The sequence below is a fragment of the Homo sapiens genome, chromosome 8 (genome assembly GCF_000001405.40).
Source record: "Homo sapiens chromosome 8, GRCh38.p14 Primary Assembly".
Classification (NCBI taxonomy): Eukaryota; Metazoa; Chordata; class Mammalia; order Primates; family Hominidae; genus Homo; species Homo sapiens.
Window position 1 is genome coordinate 126,632,164 of NC_000008.11, and position 16,627 is coordinate 126,648,790.

Consider the following 16,627-nt stretch of genomic DNA (forward strand, 5'->3'; position numbering starts at 1 on the left):
TCTCTGTCTATAGGACTCACACAGTTTTTCACGAGCAGTAGAATTAGAGTCTGGATTACTTGAAACGTCCAGCAGAAAGTTATTTCTTAGAGTGTTGGATTTCTGATTTGCTATAGACTATTAAATACATTTTCTTATTTTCTGCAGAATATTAATAATCTGACTTTCTAGTAGGCAAATGCCTCATCTCTCAGCCAGCCTATTTTTTCCTCTCATCCTGTTATTCTTTTTCTTTTTTATATTTATATTTATTTATTTTATTTTATTTATCTTTTTAAATTTTACTTTAAGTTCTGGGATACGTGTGCTGAACCTGCAGGTTTGTTACACAGATATACATGTGCCATGGTGGCTTGCTGCACCTATCAACCCATCATCTAGATTTTAACCCCCTCATGCATTAGATATTTGTCCTAATGCTCTCCCTTCCCTTTCCCCCCAACCCTCTGACAGGCCCTGGTATGTAATGTTTCCCTCCTTGTGTCCATGTGTTCTCATTGTTCAACTCCCACTTATGAGTGAGATCATGCAGTGTTTGGTTTTCTGTTCCTGTGTCAGTTTGCTGAGGATGAAGGTTTCCAGCTTCATCCATGTCCCTGCAAAGGACATGAACTCATTCTTGTTTTATGGCTGCGTAGTATTCCATGGTGTATATGTACCACATTTTATTTATTCAGTCTATTATTGGTGGCATTTGGGTTGGTTCCAAGTCTTTGCTATTGTAAATACTGCTGCAATAAACATACATGTGCATGTATCTTTATAGTAGAATGATTAATAATCCTTTGGGTATATACCCAGTAATGGGATTGCTGGGTCAAATGGTATTTCTGGTTCTAGATCCTTGAGGAATCGCCACACTGTCTTCCACAATGGTTGAACTAATTTACACTCCCACCAACAGTGTAAAAGCTTGCCTATTTCTTCGCATCCTCGTCAGCATCTGTTTTTCTATCATAAGAGTCAATGGGGATGTTTTCATCACACATGCAGGGAGAGGGAGTTCTAGAAAGAGCATCTGCTTCTGATATGCTTGGTGTTGAAGTCAGTCCTAATCAATCCAAATGTAGGCATTCCCTGTCTGTGTGATGGGGCAGGCCATGCAGTCAGTTGCATCCCTTTGTTTATTCAACCAATGACTATTGAAGGAACTTGGTGTGATGTGCCAGTCACGGCCCCTGCCCTCATGTGGTATACAATCAGGAGGCAGAGCGAGAGACACTCAAGAAATAATTAGGTCCACCATTAGTTCAATTGTGAAAAGTGTTACGCAAAAGAAGTATAAGATGCAATGGGAAGGTATATCAGACACTCATATGTATGGGTGCCCCCATACAGGCCAGTAATTTGGTATGTTTTCAAACAGATTAAAACATTTTACATTTTATTTTATTTATTTATTTTTTTTGAGACAGAGTCTCACTCTGTCGCCCAGGCTGGAGTGCAGTGGCGCGATCTCGGCTCACTGCAAGCTCCGCCTGCCAGGTTCATGCCATTCCCCTGCCTCAGCCTCCCGAGTAGCTGGGACTACAGGCGCCCCCCACCATGCCCGGCTAATTTTTTGTATTTTTAGTAGAGACGGGATTTCACCATGTTAGCCAGGAAGGTCTCGATTTCCTGACCTGGTGATCCGCCCGCCTCGGCCTCTCAAAGTGATGGGATTACAGGCGTGAACCACCACGCCCGGCAACATTTTACATTTTCATTCAATGGAAGCAGGAAGAAACTAATTAGAAAAATACTCCATTTTACTAAAGGAATAGCAAACAAGCTCTTTGAGGGCTATGTGTGAGGGCAAGATGGATGTTGATGTAGGCAGGCACAGCTTCATGATGTGCTTTTTTATACGGTTTCAGCAGACTCTTCAGAGTGACAGATTTACTGGGTGAGAGGGGTATAGACCTTCCAGCTACCTACCTTTCACCTTTGTTTAGAGTAGTGACCCAGTCCTAACTTCTGGGTTGGGTGCACAATGTCTTCCCATGCCATAGCTGGGAAGCATATAGAATGCTTCCAGAGCATCCCACATAGCCTAATGACTCTTATCTTTTATTTCTTGCTGCACCCGTTGAGCCTATATGGCCATATGTTCCCATATAATGTTCCTGGGGAATCCCAGCAATAACTGGGTGAGATATTTGAGGGATACTTGCAGATCATCCTGAAGTGGGGGAGGGAGAGAAAGAGAAAAGTTAAATGAATACATTCGATTACTGGCAATGCCACCTATCCATAACCCAAGGGGTGGTAAGAAATTATAAATTCTCAACTAACCTCAAATAAATAAATAAATAACTCAATAAAAAATGAATAAATAACTCAAATAAATAAATAAATGTATTTATTTAATTTTTGCTCTTTCTCTCCCTCCCCCACTTTAGGATGATCTGCAAGTATCCTGCAAATATCTCACCCAGTTATTGCTGGGATTCCCCAGGAACATTACATGGGAACATATCGCCATATAGGCTCAATGGGTGCAGCAAGAAATAAAAGATGAGAATTATTAGGATATGTGGGATGCTCTGGAAGCATTCTAGCTGACGTAATAGACATTTGCGGAAAAGTCTTGGGGATCCTGAATTCATTAAACAGCTTCTTCTTTTGCCCTGGTTCCTCATGTTTTCTAGCAGCAAAATTACTCTGTCCCCTTGGTGCCTTGGAATGCTCCCAGCCTAAGCTCAGCCCACATCCAGACAGGCCAATGCTTTGGTAGCAAGCTGACCACACAAACTCTTGTAAACCGTGATAAAGTTCCTAGATATTTTGGCTATTTTAGCTTTTTATTATTGAAGAAATACATTAATTTTCTTTTTTAAATCCAGGGTGGTGTCTGTCACTTCCACATCATTTATCTCCCATGAACTTGAAGCTCTGTCCCTCCGCCCTCCTCCAACATGGCCACTGTCATTTTGGGATTCACCCCAGTCTTCCTGGCACATCCCTCTGGTGATTCCTGCCGCGCAGCTGCACTGTGGCTCAGGGCAGGAGAGCAGCGTGTGCAAACTGGGGCCATCTCTGAGGGCTGGCCAGCACAGTTCTGGCCGTGGGACTCTGGCTTCACAGCCCTCTCGTGCCAGAGCTTCTGTGCAGCTCAGAGATGGTGCCAAGGCAGACTGGAGTGGGTGCGCGGGAGGAGAACACAGACACACAAAGGCCGGCTCCTGCTGTGCCAGGTCTCATGCTCTGACGCGGGGCCCCACTGACTGAGCACAAAAGAAGCCTTTCTTTCTGTCTCCATTTTCTGGGAATGGAGCCTGAATAGAGGCTACAGGACAGGAAATAGTTGATGGTGAAGGCTTAAAACATGGGCTTCGGAGTTAGTGAGAAGGGGATTTACATTTCTGTTCTCAAACTTACAAGCTATGTGACATTAGGCAGATGCCGACGGTCACGGAGCCTTAGTTTTCATAGCTATAAAATGGGGATACTGACATCAACCTGGAAGAATTGTGATAATTATATGACATGAAGCATGCAAAATGCTGAGCACAGAGACCAATGGCTATTAATTAGGACTGATTTCTCTGGGTTTTGCTAGATTGTTTGCATGTGACTGTCCCTCCTCCTCCAAAAGGACAAATGTTAGGAAGAATATTTGGCTTGACTGAATTGGTAGCGGAGTAGCATCACATGCTTGCACTGTGTGGCCCAGGATTACATCAGAGACATCATCTTCCTAGCACGCCTTACCACGCCTTCAAACAAGTGCTCCATCTGGCACAAAGACCAAGAAAAGGTTCCAGTCCCTTGAGGTTGGAGAAGAAAGCAACGGCAAAGAAACAAGCTATTAATATTAATGTTCCAGGAAAAGAAGAAGAGAGAAAGGACACGGGCGCCCAGGAAGAATGACTCCATATGGCTTTGATGTGTTCGTTTCCACAGGACGGAGAGCAGCGTGGAGAATACAAAATAGTGAGGAGGAGAGAAATGAGGAGCTGGAGGTGGCCTGGCAGCATCTGAGAAATTACATGAGCTGTAGGGAGTAGGTTTTGTCCAGACAAAAAGTCAGCCAGCCACACTGCCATCTGCAGCCATCGGAGAATAAGCCAGAAAGGGAAAGGGAAGCCTGGAGTGCCCTGTTTGTTCCAATTAGTGGGTGTAGGATATTTTCTGTAATGGTCTATTGTGCTAAACCCAAAGGGCACTGGCATTATTGAGACCTCTTCCAAGTGTCTCCTCTGTGGATCTCTTCAAGCAAAGTGCTTTAGTCCCTCTATTGAGATCCCGTTGTACCTCTCAATTTCTCACATGTATATATTCTCCGTTGCATGAGAGCCCAGCCTTTGCAGTCTGAACTGGATTAAAATCCTATCTGCACCTCTACCTGGCCATGATACATTTGGCCTATTACTCCAGCACCCAGAGCCCCCGTTTCCTCATCTATAAGTAGTTTAAGTGGTATAATAAGGTGAGGAAGTAGTTTGCGAGGAATTGAAAAGAAGTAAGAGTGTACAGGGCCTAACAACCGTGGTGGGTACTATAAATATTAGAGCTCATTCTCTTTCTTTCACCCATACCAGAGACAGCACAGAGCAAAAGGGTGAAGGAATCTATGGCAAATGGAAAAATCTCAGACTAATATGTTACTAGCAGCACAGGTATTGCAGACCCTGTTGAAAAAAAGGGGCTTCCTCGGGAATACTGCAGGCAAAGCCTCCATACATTGAGTGAACTATGAGCCCTTTGTACAGATAGAAACTGAGAATACACTGCCAACCCAAATAAAAAAGATCTCTGACATGTGAAGAAATATTCCAGCCTAGAGCACATGGGAGGTACAGCATTACATTAAAAGAACTTTTTGGAGAAGGTAAAAAGAAGAGGAATTGTGCAGCTTCAGATACCCCATCTCACTGAGCTGAGATGATGTCTGGCTAAGTGTTTCTATCATTTCCTTAGTGACGAGGAATTGGGGTGTATAGCAGAAGCCCACCAAATAATATCTATAGGCTATTGTACATCATAAAACTTCAGTTAATTGTTCAGTAAAGTCTATTTGCCATGTTTTACAATACTTTTAGTATTGTTCAATTATTTCTTTGATTTCCTTGGATTATCTTTTGATCATCTTTGTAGGATCTCATATTAAATTAATCTTTAGGTATTAAACTCAACATGAATGGACTGTACCTCAGTATTTTGTTATCAACATTTTTTTTTTTTTGAGATGGAGTCTGGCTCTGTTGCCCAGGCTGGAGTGCAGTGGTGCTATCTCGGCTCACTGCAAGCTCCACCTCCCGGGTTCTCGCCATGCTCCTGCCTCAGCCTCCCAAGTAGCTGGGACTACAGGCACCCACCACCACGCCCAGCTAATTTTTTGCATTTTCAGTACAGATGGGGTTTCACCATGTTAGCCAGGATGGTCTCGATCTCCTGACCTCATGATCTGCCTGCCTCACCCTCCCAATGTTATCAACATTCTTTTTTCTAGAAAGAGTAAAACCTCATCGAGCAAGTCCCCTTAAGAATGCTACATTAGAGAAAACACTTCTTCAGGTAGTCTTGGAATGGGGAAGACCCTTCTAAACACTAAGAGAAAATACTGACTAATTTGGCTATATAAGAATCGAACATTTCTGCCCAAGAAAAAAGCATGAAGAATGACAAATGAAGGATTGACTTTCTCAACAGATAAAGAGCTATTGCAGATCAGTGAGAGACCATTTGATGACAGAAAGAATAAATATGAACAGGTAAAAACATGAACAGACTGATCTATGAAAAACAAAATTGGCTTATAAGCATATGAAAAAATGCTCAGCATCACTTATCATTAACTAAATAAAAATGATAATACCAATGAGAAAAGTTTCCCAGGTTAGATTGGCAAATATCAGAGTCTCATCATATTGGCGAGGTGTGAAGAAATGTATATTCTCATCAAGGATTTGTGCAAACTTTGGAGGGCAATTTGGCAATAACTGGTGAAGTTTTAAAAATGCTTGGTCAAGGACTGACATTTTAAATATTTTATCTCATTGATATGTCTGAACATATGAACAAAGATGCATACACACAGATTTTTTGCAGTATGTAATATAATAACAAAGACTAGAAACAAACTCAATCAGAAAGAGACTGTTAAATAAATGATTGTTCACTTTTAAAATGGAATACTACGCAGCTATGACAAAGAATAATGTGTGTGTGTTTGTGTGAGTGTGTAGGGTGTATGTGTACACATTAAGTGTGGGGAATTAGGAGTGTTTTTTTTTTTTTTTTTGAGACGGAGTCTCGCTCTTTCACCCAGGCCAGACTGCAGTGGCACTATCTCAGCTCACTGCAAGCTCCGCCTCCTGGGTTCACGCCATTCTCCTGCCTCAGCCTCCGAAGTAGCTGGGACTACAGGTGCCCACCACCGCGCCCAGCTAATTAGGAGTGTTCTATTTTTATAACGAAGTTTCTTGTGAAATTAAGTTAAAGTTAGATAAATACTATTAAGCATTTGTCTTTTGATTTAAAATAATTATTTCTAGCATGTAGGACAGTACTTTGCACATAATGTAAATACCCAAATATTCACTGAGTGTGAAAGAGTAATTTGGATGAAATGTTAAAAGAAAGTATCTCTTTAATGAGATTAGACCCAATGAATACCTTCATGTCCTTCTATACCCATCTTTAACCTCTTTTACTGGGAGTGTAACACATGGAAAAGTACACGAAACAATATACATATCAATAAGTTATGACAAAATAAACATTGTATAACCACTAATCTGATAAAGAAATACAACATACCCTCTCTTTTCACCTATGATGAGTTCATGGATGCTTTGTCATTAGAACTTCTGTTTCCTTACCTGTAAATTGAGGATGTTGAAAATCATAACACAAATGTGCTTGTAATATCAGATGAGATAATGTTACTATCGTGCTTATAAGTGATAGAAAGTTCTGCAAATGGGGAAGATTATAGGCCATTGAGTTTGATTGATGTGTCAGAGGTTGGCAGGTACCATCAAAGCCCAAGGGCATCTTGCTTGAAGTCATCCCTATGGTCCTTACTATCCTGGGCAGGTGTGATGTAGGGAAAACAGCTGCCCATTTATTTATGCTTAGCATTCCAATAATGGAACATTCCACATTTATGCCTAGTGTTCCATTATTGGAACGCTAAGCATGTGGGAGTTATTTATATCCTACTGCTCAAGGTCATGACCAAGGTCTGATTTTTCACACACGTCTGCAATTCAAAAAATTGCAACCTCCAGCATAAATGGGTTAATGGACTTAACAGAATTAACTGGTGGTCAATATTCTGCCACTGCCCTGAGAATAAACAATAAACCTTTCTTCTTATTCTGAATCTGTGAGTTTTGCCAGGGAGCAGAAAAGATAGAACCATGGAATCTCCTGGAAGACTCTCAGAGTGCTCGTTGGAATGGTCTACAATGACTAGGGGAGGAGTCACCTTGCAGTAGCCTCTAGGGATGTGGAGTGGTTTGCCTGCTCTGCCAGGTTCCTTTTAATGGCACTCTAGCTATGTGACCTTGGACAACTTACTTAATCTTGTGCAGCCTCAGCTACCCCATCTCTCTGAAGGCAAACTTAGTCTCTGCCTCACAGGGTACTGTGAGGGTCCTTGTGAGATAATCCGTGTAAAGTGCCCAGCGAGATGTCTCACTCAGCCCGTGCTCAGACGTGTTTGCAGAGTGTTAATCTCTCAGAAGGAGCTGATTATCAACATTCTTTTGCCTAGAGAGAGGAAAGTCTATTTGCCATTTTATGCAGTTTATATACATAGATACTATTTGCCATATTATACAGTAATAGATTTTACTGGACAATAATCTCACCAGATAATCTTGGTGGATGAGATTGCAGCACGTGTGCTACTTATATTCTTTAGGGCAGGAGAGTTTATGTGGATCTAGAGTGGAGTGGTGGTTTATGACTCCTGTAGCACTCAGTTGATTCTCCATTGCTCCTGAATAGGTCTTTCTTTACTGATGACAGGGTCTCTCCATACGGTGACACATGGGGTTTGATGAGGGAAGATAGGGTATGTGAAGCTTATGTAGGGACAATGAGAGCAGGAACACTATTCTTAGGCTTTATGCTTGTTTGGGCAGGGAAGTGGAGGGCAAAGGGAAGAGAGAGGGAGAGAAAATGGCTCAGGAGTAGAAATGTGTAAAGCATGATTTGAGAACAAGAAACACTGAGATAGGATGTTCTTTTAGGGAACTACTAGATGCCAAGGCAGAACATACAGTTTGGGGTCTTGAACAGAAGCCTTTGTTGCCAGCAAAGGCATGAAGAATTTATCCTGCAAGTACTGGGGAACCATTGAACTTAAACAGGGTAGTGACATGTCTCAAGCACGGGAGGTAAAATTGAATTAGCAAATTAGCTAGAAAACAGGGATAGTTACTAGCTACAACAATTACTATGTTCAACTCAAGAAAAATCCCCTGGCACAGAGCCTCATGTACTTAACATATGCCTGCTGAATTTTTATTTCAAATATAAAATTGCTGTTACTTAGATGTCATTTGGCCTCTCTAGTTTTTAATATAAAATGACTTTGCATTTTATTTAAATCTGAAGTTAAGTGACTATTTCTGATGCATAAACTCAGTCCGAGGGATGAAATGAGGTTAAATATCATAGTATCCATCCAACCTCCTTCCTCTACCTGCCCCTGCCCATCACCAAAGTCCTCTTTTCTGTAGGTGCTAGATGAAAATGGATATTCATTGTGTTGATGATGGGAGGCCTTCATGGAAAAGTACCACTGGATTCCAGCTTAGTCAGCTGCATGATTTCATAGAGCATCAAGGCAGATGCTAATGGGAGGTTGGTGGAGAGGTAGTCAGAAAAGAGACTGACAGTGCAACTCAGAGAATTGGGGGGAAGGTTTAATGGCAAAGATGGAAATTCAGCTGGGCTTCTGTGAGTTTAGTTTCATTGAGAACTAAGGGACAGGGAGAGACCAAAGTGGGAGAATGAATTAAAGCTGCTGAAAGAAGTCCTAAGAGTCAGTGTAGTATATGAGAAATGCATGGACTTGGGAATCAGCCACAGCCAGATCACAGAACAGCATTGTGAGCTTGGGGAAGTTCGTTACGATTGTGTGCTTACCTGTAGAGATGGGGATAAAATAGGGTTTCTGTGAAGATGAATCAACGATAGGACATGAAAGAGCTTGAGACAGTGTTCACCATGCATGCTTCTCTATGTTTCTGGTTTTTTTTTATTGTTCCTTGTTCTCCTTTTAACTCCCATCACCTAAAATTTTGGCACTGGTCATAGGCACCTATTTTTGTTGAAAATGTCACTGGCCTTCTGTTAGGGAAGAGTAACTCTTTATACTGATGTAGCACTTTGCTGTTTTGAAAGTGTTTTTATGGATATTACTATCATCTGCTTTTCATAGCAACTCTGTGAACTGCGGTCTTATCTTAGTTTTACAGCTGGGGACATTGAGGCTCATTTTTGCACAGCTAATAGTTAGTGGTAAAATCAAGTTATTTGGCTTTTAAAGTGCTGTTTTCAGCCGCAGACAGTATAGAGGCATCTATGAGGACTCCCCTGCTTCTGGTTTCAATACTGTGTGTAATTGTGGTATCCTGGAAACCACTTTGGGTATCCTTTTAACCTGGTTTTCCAGATGTGTCTTGCCATTTGACCAGGAGACCGGGAAGATTAGAGTGAAATGAAAATGGAGACTGGGCCACACTGCATTGGTAATAAAGTTTCTCCATGTTACCAATCTTTAACCCATAGCCATGTTACACTGAATTAATTACTAGCTACTAAGGATTGCTTCTAAGGCACCGGACAGAGGGAGAGAACTCTCCCTCCTCTATCTCTCCTCTGTTGCACATATATACATGCATGCCCCAGTTCTAGCATTAAAAGTTAGCAGGGATTTCAAGAGTTCCTCCTCTACATGCACGCACATGGCTTGCTTATAGTCTTCTGACTCCTGTTCATTAATTTGATGTGCATTTTGTTGCCTGCTCGGTTTTCTTTCTTGATTCTAGTCATGCTCTTATCCCTGCTATTGTTGAGAATGACAACTTCCAGAATTCTGTCTTAATTTAGTCATGTCACAATTATAGCACCCACCTCACTTTCCACTTCAGCTACTCTGCAGCCTGGGTTAGGCACCACTGTTGACACTTGTGGTTCTTCCTCTGACATGACATATTGACAGGCCCTATACCCCTGGCCATCCAGAGTTCCATGGTTAAGTATGGTGTAATGCTCTGATAGAGAATGAATGAAGCTGGACAAGATGCCATAATGCAGTTTCACTAGTGGAGAGAGCCACCTCTCATCAGAGGCTTCTGCCTTCACAGAATATTGATGAGGTCCCCGCCACAGTGTCCTTGCCATAGGAACTGATAAGGGTGAGGGAAAAGATAAGTGGAGAGAAAAGTGTACGCGAAATAAAATCTAGTTGACCACAAATCATTGACATGTTATTCCTCGTGTCCTAATTACCTTCGGATGTTTTCCTTGTCCTTTAAGGTTTTATCTATCATTAAAAAATGAATTGTCTCACTTGTAGAGAACTGTGAAAGCTAATTAAAAATGAAACCAAAAGCCACAGATGTAATTATTACACAATGAGATAAGGATAACATTATCTGATGCCATTTCATATACCAAAAGTGCATTTTAATTAGAACCCCAGGTGGTAACTAAGAAATCAGGTATAAAGACATTTTATCTTTACTACCTATTTGCAAAATAATTGTGCATCACAATTATTGTTTGAGGATATACACCAGATTTCTGGAAAATGTTCCCTAAAAGGAGGACTGTTCTTGATCTTGGCCCATACAACACAAATAAATAAACATAATTCTTTATCAAGACCAATGTGTTGAATCTGATATTGCAGGCATACAAGATTTAGGACCATTTGAAACTTGTAATCATTTTGTGTCAAAAGATTAGATTCATTCTTAGTTCTCTAAAGCATAAATATGACATGTATCTGTAATGGCAATGAAATAAATATTTTAAAACATCTACTTTTGTCTTTACATATAATTTATAATGCTATTTTATGACTCTCTGTGTGTGCATATAAAATACACAGTTCATTTGAGTGCAATATAGCAAAATAACAGTAATATACTTGTACATATTGTGTACAGGTTGAAATGGTACTGAGGAATTGGGAAAGCTTTCTAGTAAGTAATTCCTAGAAGACCCTTTCTAGAGTCAAAGTCATGTGCCGTCTCCATTTTGTGGATGGGAAATGGAGAGTGCAAAAGTGTCAATAGGGTAGAAGGTAATGGCACATGTATACCTATGTACCAAACCTGCACGTTCAGCACATGTATCCCAGAACTTAAAGTAAAACAAACAAACAAACAAACAAAAAACGCAGAGGCAGAATTTAATTTTATCTGTACATAAGAGAACAGGTAATCATGAAAAAGCATTCTGGTTTTCCAAATTTCACTGAATTATAATCAAATAAAATTCTTGAAACTATAAAAAGCAAAAGAAGGCAAGCAGGAGTGTTTATCTCCTTTAACATCCATTGCTTGCCCAAGGCTAGTGGGAATGCTGTGTTAAGCATCACCCCTTGGTCCAGGGTAAGTGTGTCATGGAGGTAGTGGGTGATCAGTGTCTGCCATGGCCATAGGGGTGCTGTGGAGGGTGGTGATGAGGTGCATGTAATCAATTTCCTGGTTTTGCCAAATAAAAACCCTCAGTTGGAATCTACATTTCTGTGTTCTAACTTTAGTTACCTGTACCCCTTTTCCCCAGTGGCTAAATTGCTGTGTGACTTTGGGCAAGCTCTGTAACTACCCTGAATCACAGCTTCTCTGTCTTTCAGATAGGAACAATGATACAACTCAGTTCTCTTTGGGTAGCGCCAGAATAATCAGTCTGAAATTATTGGTCAAAACCTCAGATTAAAAAATGGACACAGTTAATATGTGTTCTGTCTTCTTTTCTTCATTCAATGTAGCATTTAGGTAACTCAAGACCAGGGACCCAAGAGAAAGGACAGAAAGCACAACTGGAATCAGTTTTGCAGCTTATTTATAATTCTCATTTAAAAACAAATTAAATAAAACATACCTCTAAATAAAGATAAGAATAAAGATGAACTTTGCTCAGAAAAATATTTATTCACCTCTACTGTTATAGACTGAATGTTTGTGTTCCCCCAGAATTTATATGTTGCAGCCTTAATACTTCACGTGATGGTATTTGGAGGAGGTAGATTTAGATGAGATCCTAAGGATGGGGCCCCCATACTAGAATTAGTGTCCTTATAAGAAGAGGAGGAGACTGGAGCTCTCTCTCCACCCTGTGAGGACACAATGAGAAGGGGGCCGTCTGCAAGCCAGGAAGATGAGGCCCTCCCTCGCCAGAACCCAACCATGCTGTCACCTTGGTTTTGGGCTTCCTGGCATTCAGAACTGTGAGAAATAAATGTTGTTTAAGCTACCCCGTCTTTGGTATTTTTCTGTAGTAGCCTGAGAAGACTAAGACACCTACTATATGCCAGGCTTTGTTATAAATATTTGAACTGCTACAATGAACACAGAAATTCCTGTTCTTGTGCAATTTACATTCTACTATGGATAGATAAACAATACACAAATACATAACATGATAAATACATTAATAGATAAACAAATCCATAGATATATACAATTATAGCAATAAAGTAGTGAAGTGACATTTAAAATGTCAGATGGTAATAAATGCTATGAAGTATAAGTCAGCAGGACTGGAGAGACAGCAGGTACTGGTAGGGAGGATGCTATTTCAGATAAGAAGATTGGAGGAGTCTCTGATGGCTTGACATATGATCACAGATCTGAAAGAAGTGAGGGGGTTGACCATGTAGCTCTCTTGGAGAACACTGTTCCAGGTACAGGTATAGAAAATGCCAAGATTGTGTTCCCTGGGTTCAAGGAACAGGAAGGGAGGCAGTATGGCTTTTCCACTTCTGCAAGCTTTTCCATTAAAGTGCATTCTTGAGGTGTAGCCCATGTATTTCAGGGGCCCAGAAAAATCATACACTGGTGCTTATGGTCATGTCCTCATGTAGGAAATCAGAACTCTTTTGTTACCATTGTCAGTTAATTTTCCATGTTTGCCATTATAGATACATATTTAGACTGCGGTGGTGTTACTCTTGCCCTGTAAGTAAATAAATATAATTTATTATTCTTGCAGGGAATAATTTTTTTACTGTTTCAGAGTCTAATTTGTTGCAGCAGTAGAAACAAACAGAAACATTGCTTAAAAGGTGCAATCTGCCAAACAATGGACGTGTCTCTGACTTATCCAGGGCAGTTTCTCCAGCAGGAGTGTGGAAACTGCATTGTAGTCATCCCTCTACCTCTTCATTTCCCTCCCTCTCCTGCTCTTCCTGGACAGTGCTTCTAGCTCATCCTCTTCAATGCCAAGAGAAGCCACTCTTTGCTGTGTTCCTACTGTGTGCTAGGGAGTGTTCTGCATATAGTCTATGCACATTTGCTCAGTTTTCTCAGTCCCTGCAGGGGTGCAATTTTAGGAAATATCAAATAAGACTGACAAAATTAGGTGAAATAAAGCATATAAGGTGTTTAGCACAGTGCCTGGTACATGATGTTTTTTCTTTGAGTGGTAGCAATTGTTATCACTAGTTATCTTGTTTAGTCCTCCTAAAGAAATCCATGGAAGGGGCATTGTAATTCTCAACTTATGGGCCCAGGGAGTTCAAGTAACTTCTCCAAGGCCACTCGGTGAGTTTCAGTCTAAGTTCAGCTTTAAATCTCAGTCTGTCTATGCGGAAGCCTGTGCTCTTTTTCTTATTCTGTTGCCACTCTGCCCTCCATTTTCCTTCCATGTATAAAATGGGAATAAGATTCATATACAAGGCCTTACATCTATATATCTACATATGTACATGAATATATGTCGCAGGGGTGTTTTGAAGATTAAATGTTTTCTATATGTAATTGAGATGGTAGTATTCAAATACAAATTAAGACATTATCTAGATATCTCAATATCTGATATTATTAAGATATCTGTATCAGAAGACACAATGAAATAGAATTAAAAACAGTGAAGAGTGCCAGTCAGTCAATAGTTGTGATGAGGCACTAACAAGCTTGTGGGTATTCAGAGAAGAAAATGATCCTGATGGGCTGATGTAGGTGGAAAAGCAAGCCAGGGAATGTGCTAGGAGGAGCAGAGTGCAGGCAGGACATCGCAGGTAAAGAGCAGCACCCCACCTGTGCAAAGACCGGAAGGATGTGTGTGTGTGTGTGTGTGTGTGTGTGTGATTGCATGGGACAGGGAGGGGACAGCACTGTGTACAGGCTTCATAGGCAGAAAGAGGGGGATGCAGCCTGAGGTCTTTTAAGATTTGATTTTGGTACGTGAGGTCTTGTTCCTGTGTACGGGGCCTCAGTCAGGCATGTTAAGTAGAAGATGGACGGGTGAATAAGATCATGTGGGATAGAACCACATAGGGGTCCTGAAGCAACATGTGCTGTGCAAATCTTATACATGCCTGTATTAGCCAGGGTTCTCTGGAGAAACAGAACTGATAGAATATATATAGATACATAGAAGGGGATTTATTACAGGAATTGGCTCACACAATTTTGGAGGCTGAGAAGTCCTGCAATCTGCTATCTGCAAGTTGGAGACCATGGAAAGCTGGTGATGCAATTTCCAGTCTAAACACGAAGGTCTGAGATCCAGGGAGTCAATGGTGCATGTCCCAGTCCAAGTCTGAAACCCTGAGGACTGGGGGTGGAACAGTGGGAGGAGATAGTGTGAATCCTGGTCAGAGTCTGAAGGCCTAAGAAGGAGGAGCACTGATGTCCTAGGGCAGGAGAGATGCACACCCCAGCTCAAGGAGGAAAAAATTCACTCTCCTTCCTTTTTTTTTTTTTTTTTTTTCATTCTATTTGGGCTCCTCAGTGAATTGGCTGATTGATACCCATCCACACTGGTGAGGGCAACTTTATTTACTTAGTCTACATTTGAAGGGTGAAGTGAAGCTTCTCCTTTTCTCTGCCCTGCTTTCTTCCTCTCCCCTCCTCTCCTCTTTTCTCTTCTCTTCTCATATCTGACTCTCTTTTATTCCTCTTTTTCTTTCTTCTTTCCTGCCCAGCTGACAAGGTAAGTAAGGACGGGAATGTCCTTCTGTTTAGAAGGTATACATGGGCCACAGTGGACTGAGAAGTGTCACCTCGGGTATTTCCAGATGCTTCTACGCCATTGTTTTCCCCAGTTATCCAAAAAGGAATTCCAGATCCAATGGAACCATTTCAGGATCACTTTCAAAGTCAAGCCAGAACCAAGATGGGAGTGGCATGGGATGCTGATGCTCTGCCTGCATTCTGTCAGAACCAACATTTCCATGCACAATGGCCAAATTTCTGATGACCAGTACCTGCATCTTCATGAGGAGACTGTCAGGCTGCTGGAGCCCACTGTGCTCACCCCATGATGGGGGCCTGACATCTGGGATGGGGGCAAAAATCATTGACTGCTGGGTGTGAGTATAAGCAGCTCAGCCTCCTCATCCCCCAGATGGAATATTTCTGATGCACGTGTTGCACACAATTTCCCATGTATCCTCTGGGCATGAAGCTACAGCTGTCTACTGTGGTCACTGACTGAACAATGCACTCCTTATTGGCTTCATTCTTCATCTGTCCCTTTTCCATTCCCCTGCCAGGTCTCTGCACTTCCAAACTAAACTCACACCATTGGTCCTCTTCTCAGGCCTTGCTTCTGTGGGCATCCCACCTAGAAAAAGGGGTAGGATGTTAATGGCAGTCTCTTTAGATCTGCCTCTGACATACACAAAAGTCTTCTCTGTTATTGCAGGATCCAGCTAAGCTCACTAGGTAGGAAACAAAATAGAAATGTGAAATCAAAAATCTAAATGCAGTTATAAAGAAAGTCTCTTGTGCATACCTCTCTTAGAAGCAGCAGTGATTTGAAAGGAGAAACTGGCTGATTACTTAGTGCTTTAAATAAGGGGTCAGCAAATGTATTTATAAGGGCAAGATAGTAAATACTTGAAGCTTCGCAGGCCAGACAATCTCCGTTGCAACTACTTAATTCTACCGCTGTAGTGAAAAGGAGGCAATCATAGGCAATATGTAAAATGACGAGTGGGGTTATTTTCCAGCAGAACTTTACTGACAGAAACAGAAGCCCAGATTTGGCCTGCCCCTGGTTTAGATCCTGCCTATCTTCGTCTATTTAATAAAGTGTTCACCTTGCATTTAATTTCACATGCTTCGTCCTTTGCCTTTCCCTCCCTGTCTCTACCATCCTTCCCACACATTTGTGTTTTCTGCTTGTACTTAAAGGTGCAGCCCAGGGTTTCTTCCTCTGGAAATTCCTCCTTGACCCTCAAGCCTGGGTTAGGGGCTTCTCATCCATTTTCTCCTATTACCCAGTGCTTACCTCTGTCTTGGTACTTACAGCCCAATTGATTATCTTTACATTTGCACATTTTTTAGTGAGCGGCCTTTCAGTTGTGACAGAAATCTATCTCAAAGTTGTTTCAATACCAAAAAAGTTTTTTCTTAAGTTTGCATTTACTGGCTTTATGATTAAATTGCAAATATAAACCTAAAGCACTTTTAACTTTTCCAAAATCTGTTAACAGTCTTGCTTT

The 16,627-nt window shown here is 41.3% G+C and overlaps 1 long non-coding RNA gene across 5 annotated transcripts in view, besides 3 other annotated features; it reads left to right on the forward strand.

The window, feature by feature from the left end:
- LOC105375751 (uncharacterized) overlaps positions 1-16,627 on the forward strand; it is a 463,156-nt gene that overhangs the window by 74,288 nt on the left and 372,241 nt on the right. The window contains exon 3 of one of the 5 annotated variants that reach the window (NR_188073.1): positions 2,382-2,609. The exons of the other annotated variants lie outside the window; for them this stretch is intronic. This is a non-coding gene — a long non-coding RNA (uncharacterized LOC105375751). Of the gene's footprint in view, positions 1-2,381; positions 2,610-16,627 lie in introns of those variants that run through there. 5 annotated transcript variants of the gene reach the window in all.
- Positions 2,841-3,135: a silencer, noted in NCBI's record as "tiled region #547; K562 Repressive non-DNase unmatched - State 24:Quies". NCBI's record gives its function as "represses a minimal TATA promoter and a strong SV40 promoter by Sharpr-MPRA in K562 cells {active_cell/tissue: K562}" and the evidence as "EXISTENCE:reporter gene assay evidence [ECO:0000049][PMID:27701403]".
- Positions 2,841-3,537: a biological region, named in NCBI's record as "Sharpr-MPRA regulatory region 547".
- Positions 3,015-3,537: an enhancer, noted in NCBI's record as "H3K27ac-H3K4me1 hESC enhancer chr8:127647423-127647945 (GRCh37/hg19 assembly coordinates)". NCBI's record gives its function as "activates a minimal SCP1, AML or CMV promoter by ChIP-STARR-seq in primed H9 embryonic stem cells {active_cell/tissue: H9 hESC(primed)}" and the evidence as "EXISTENCE:reporter gene assay evidence [ECO:0000049][PMID:30033119]".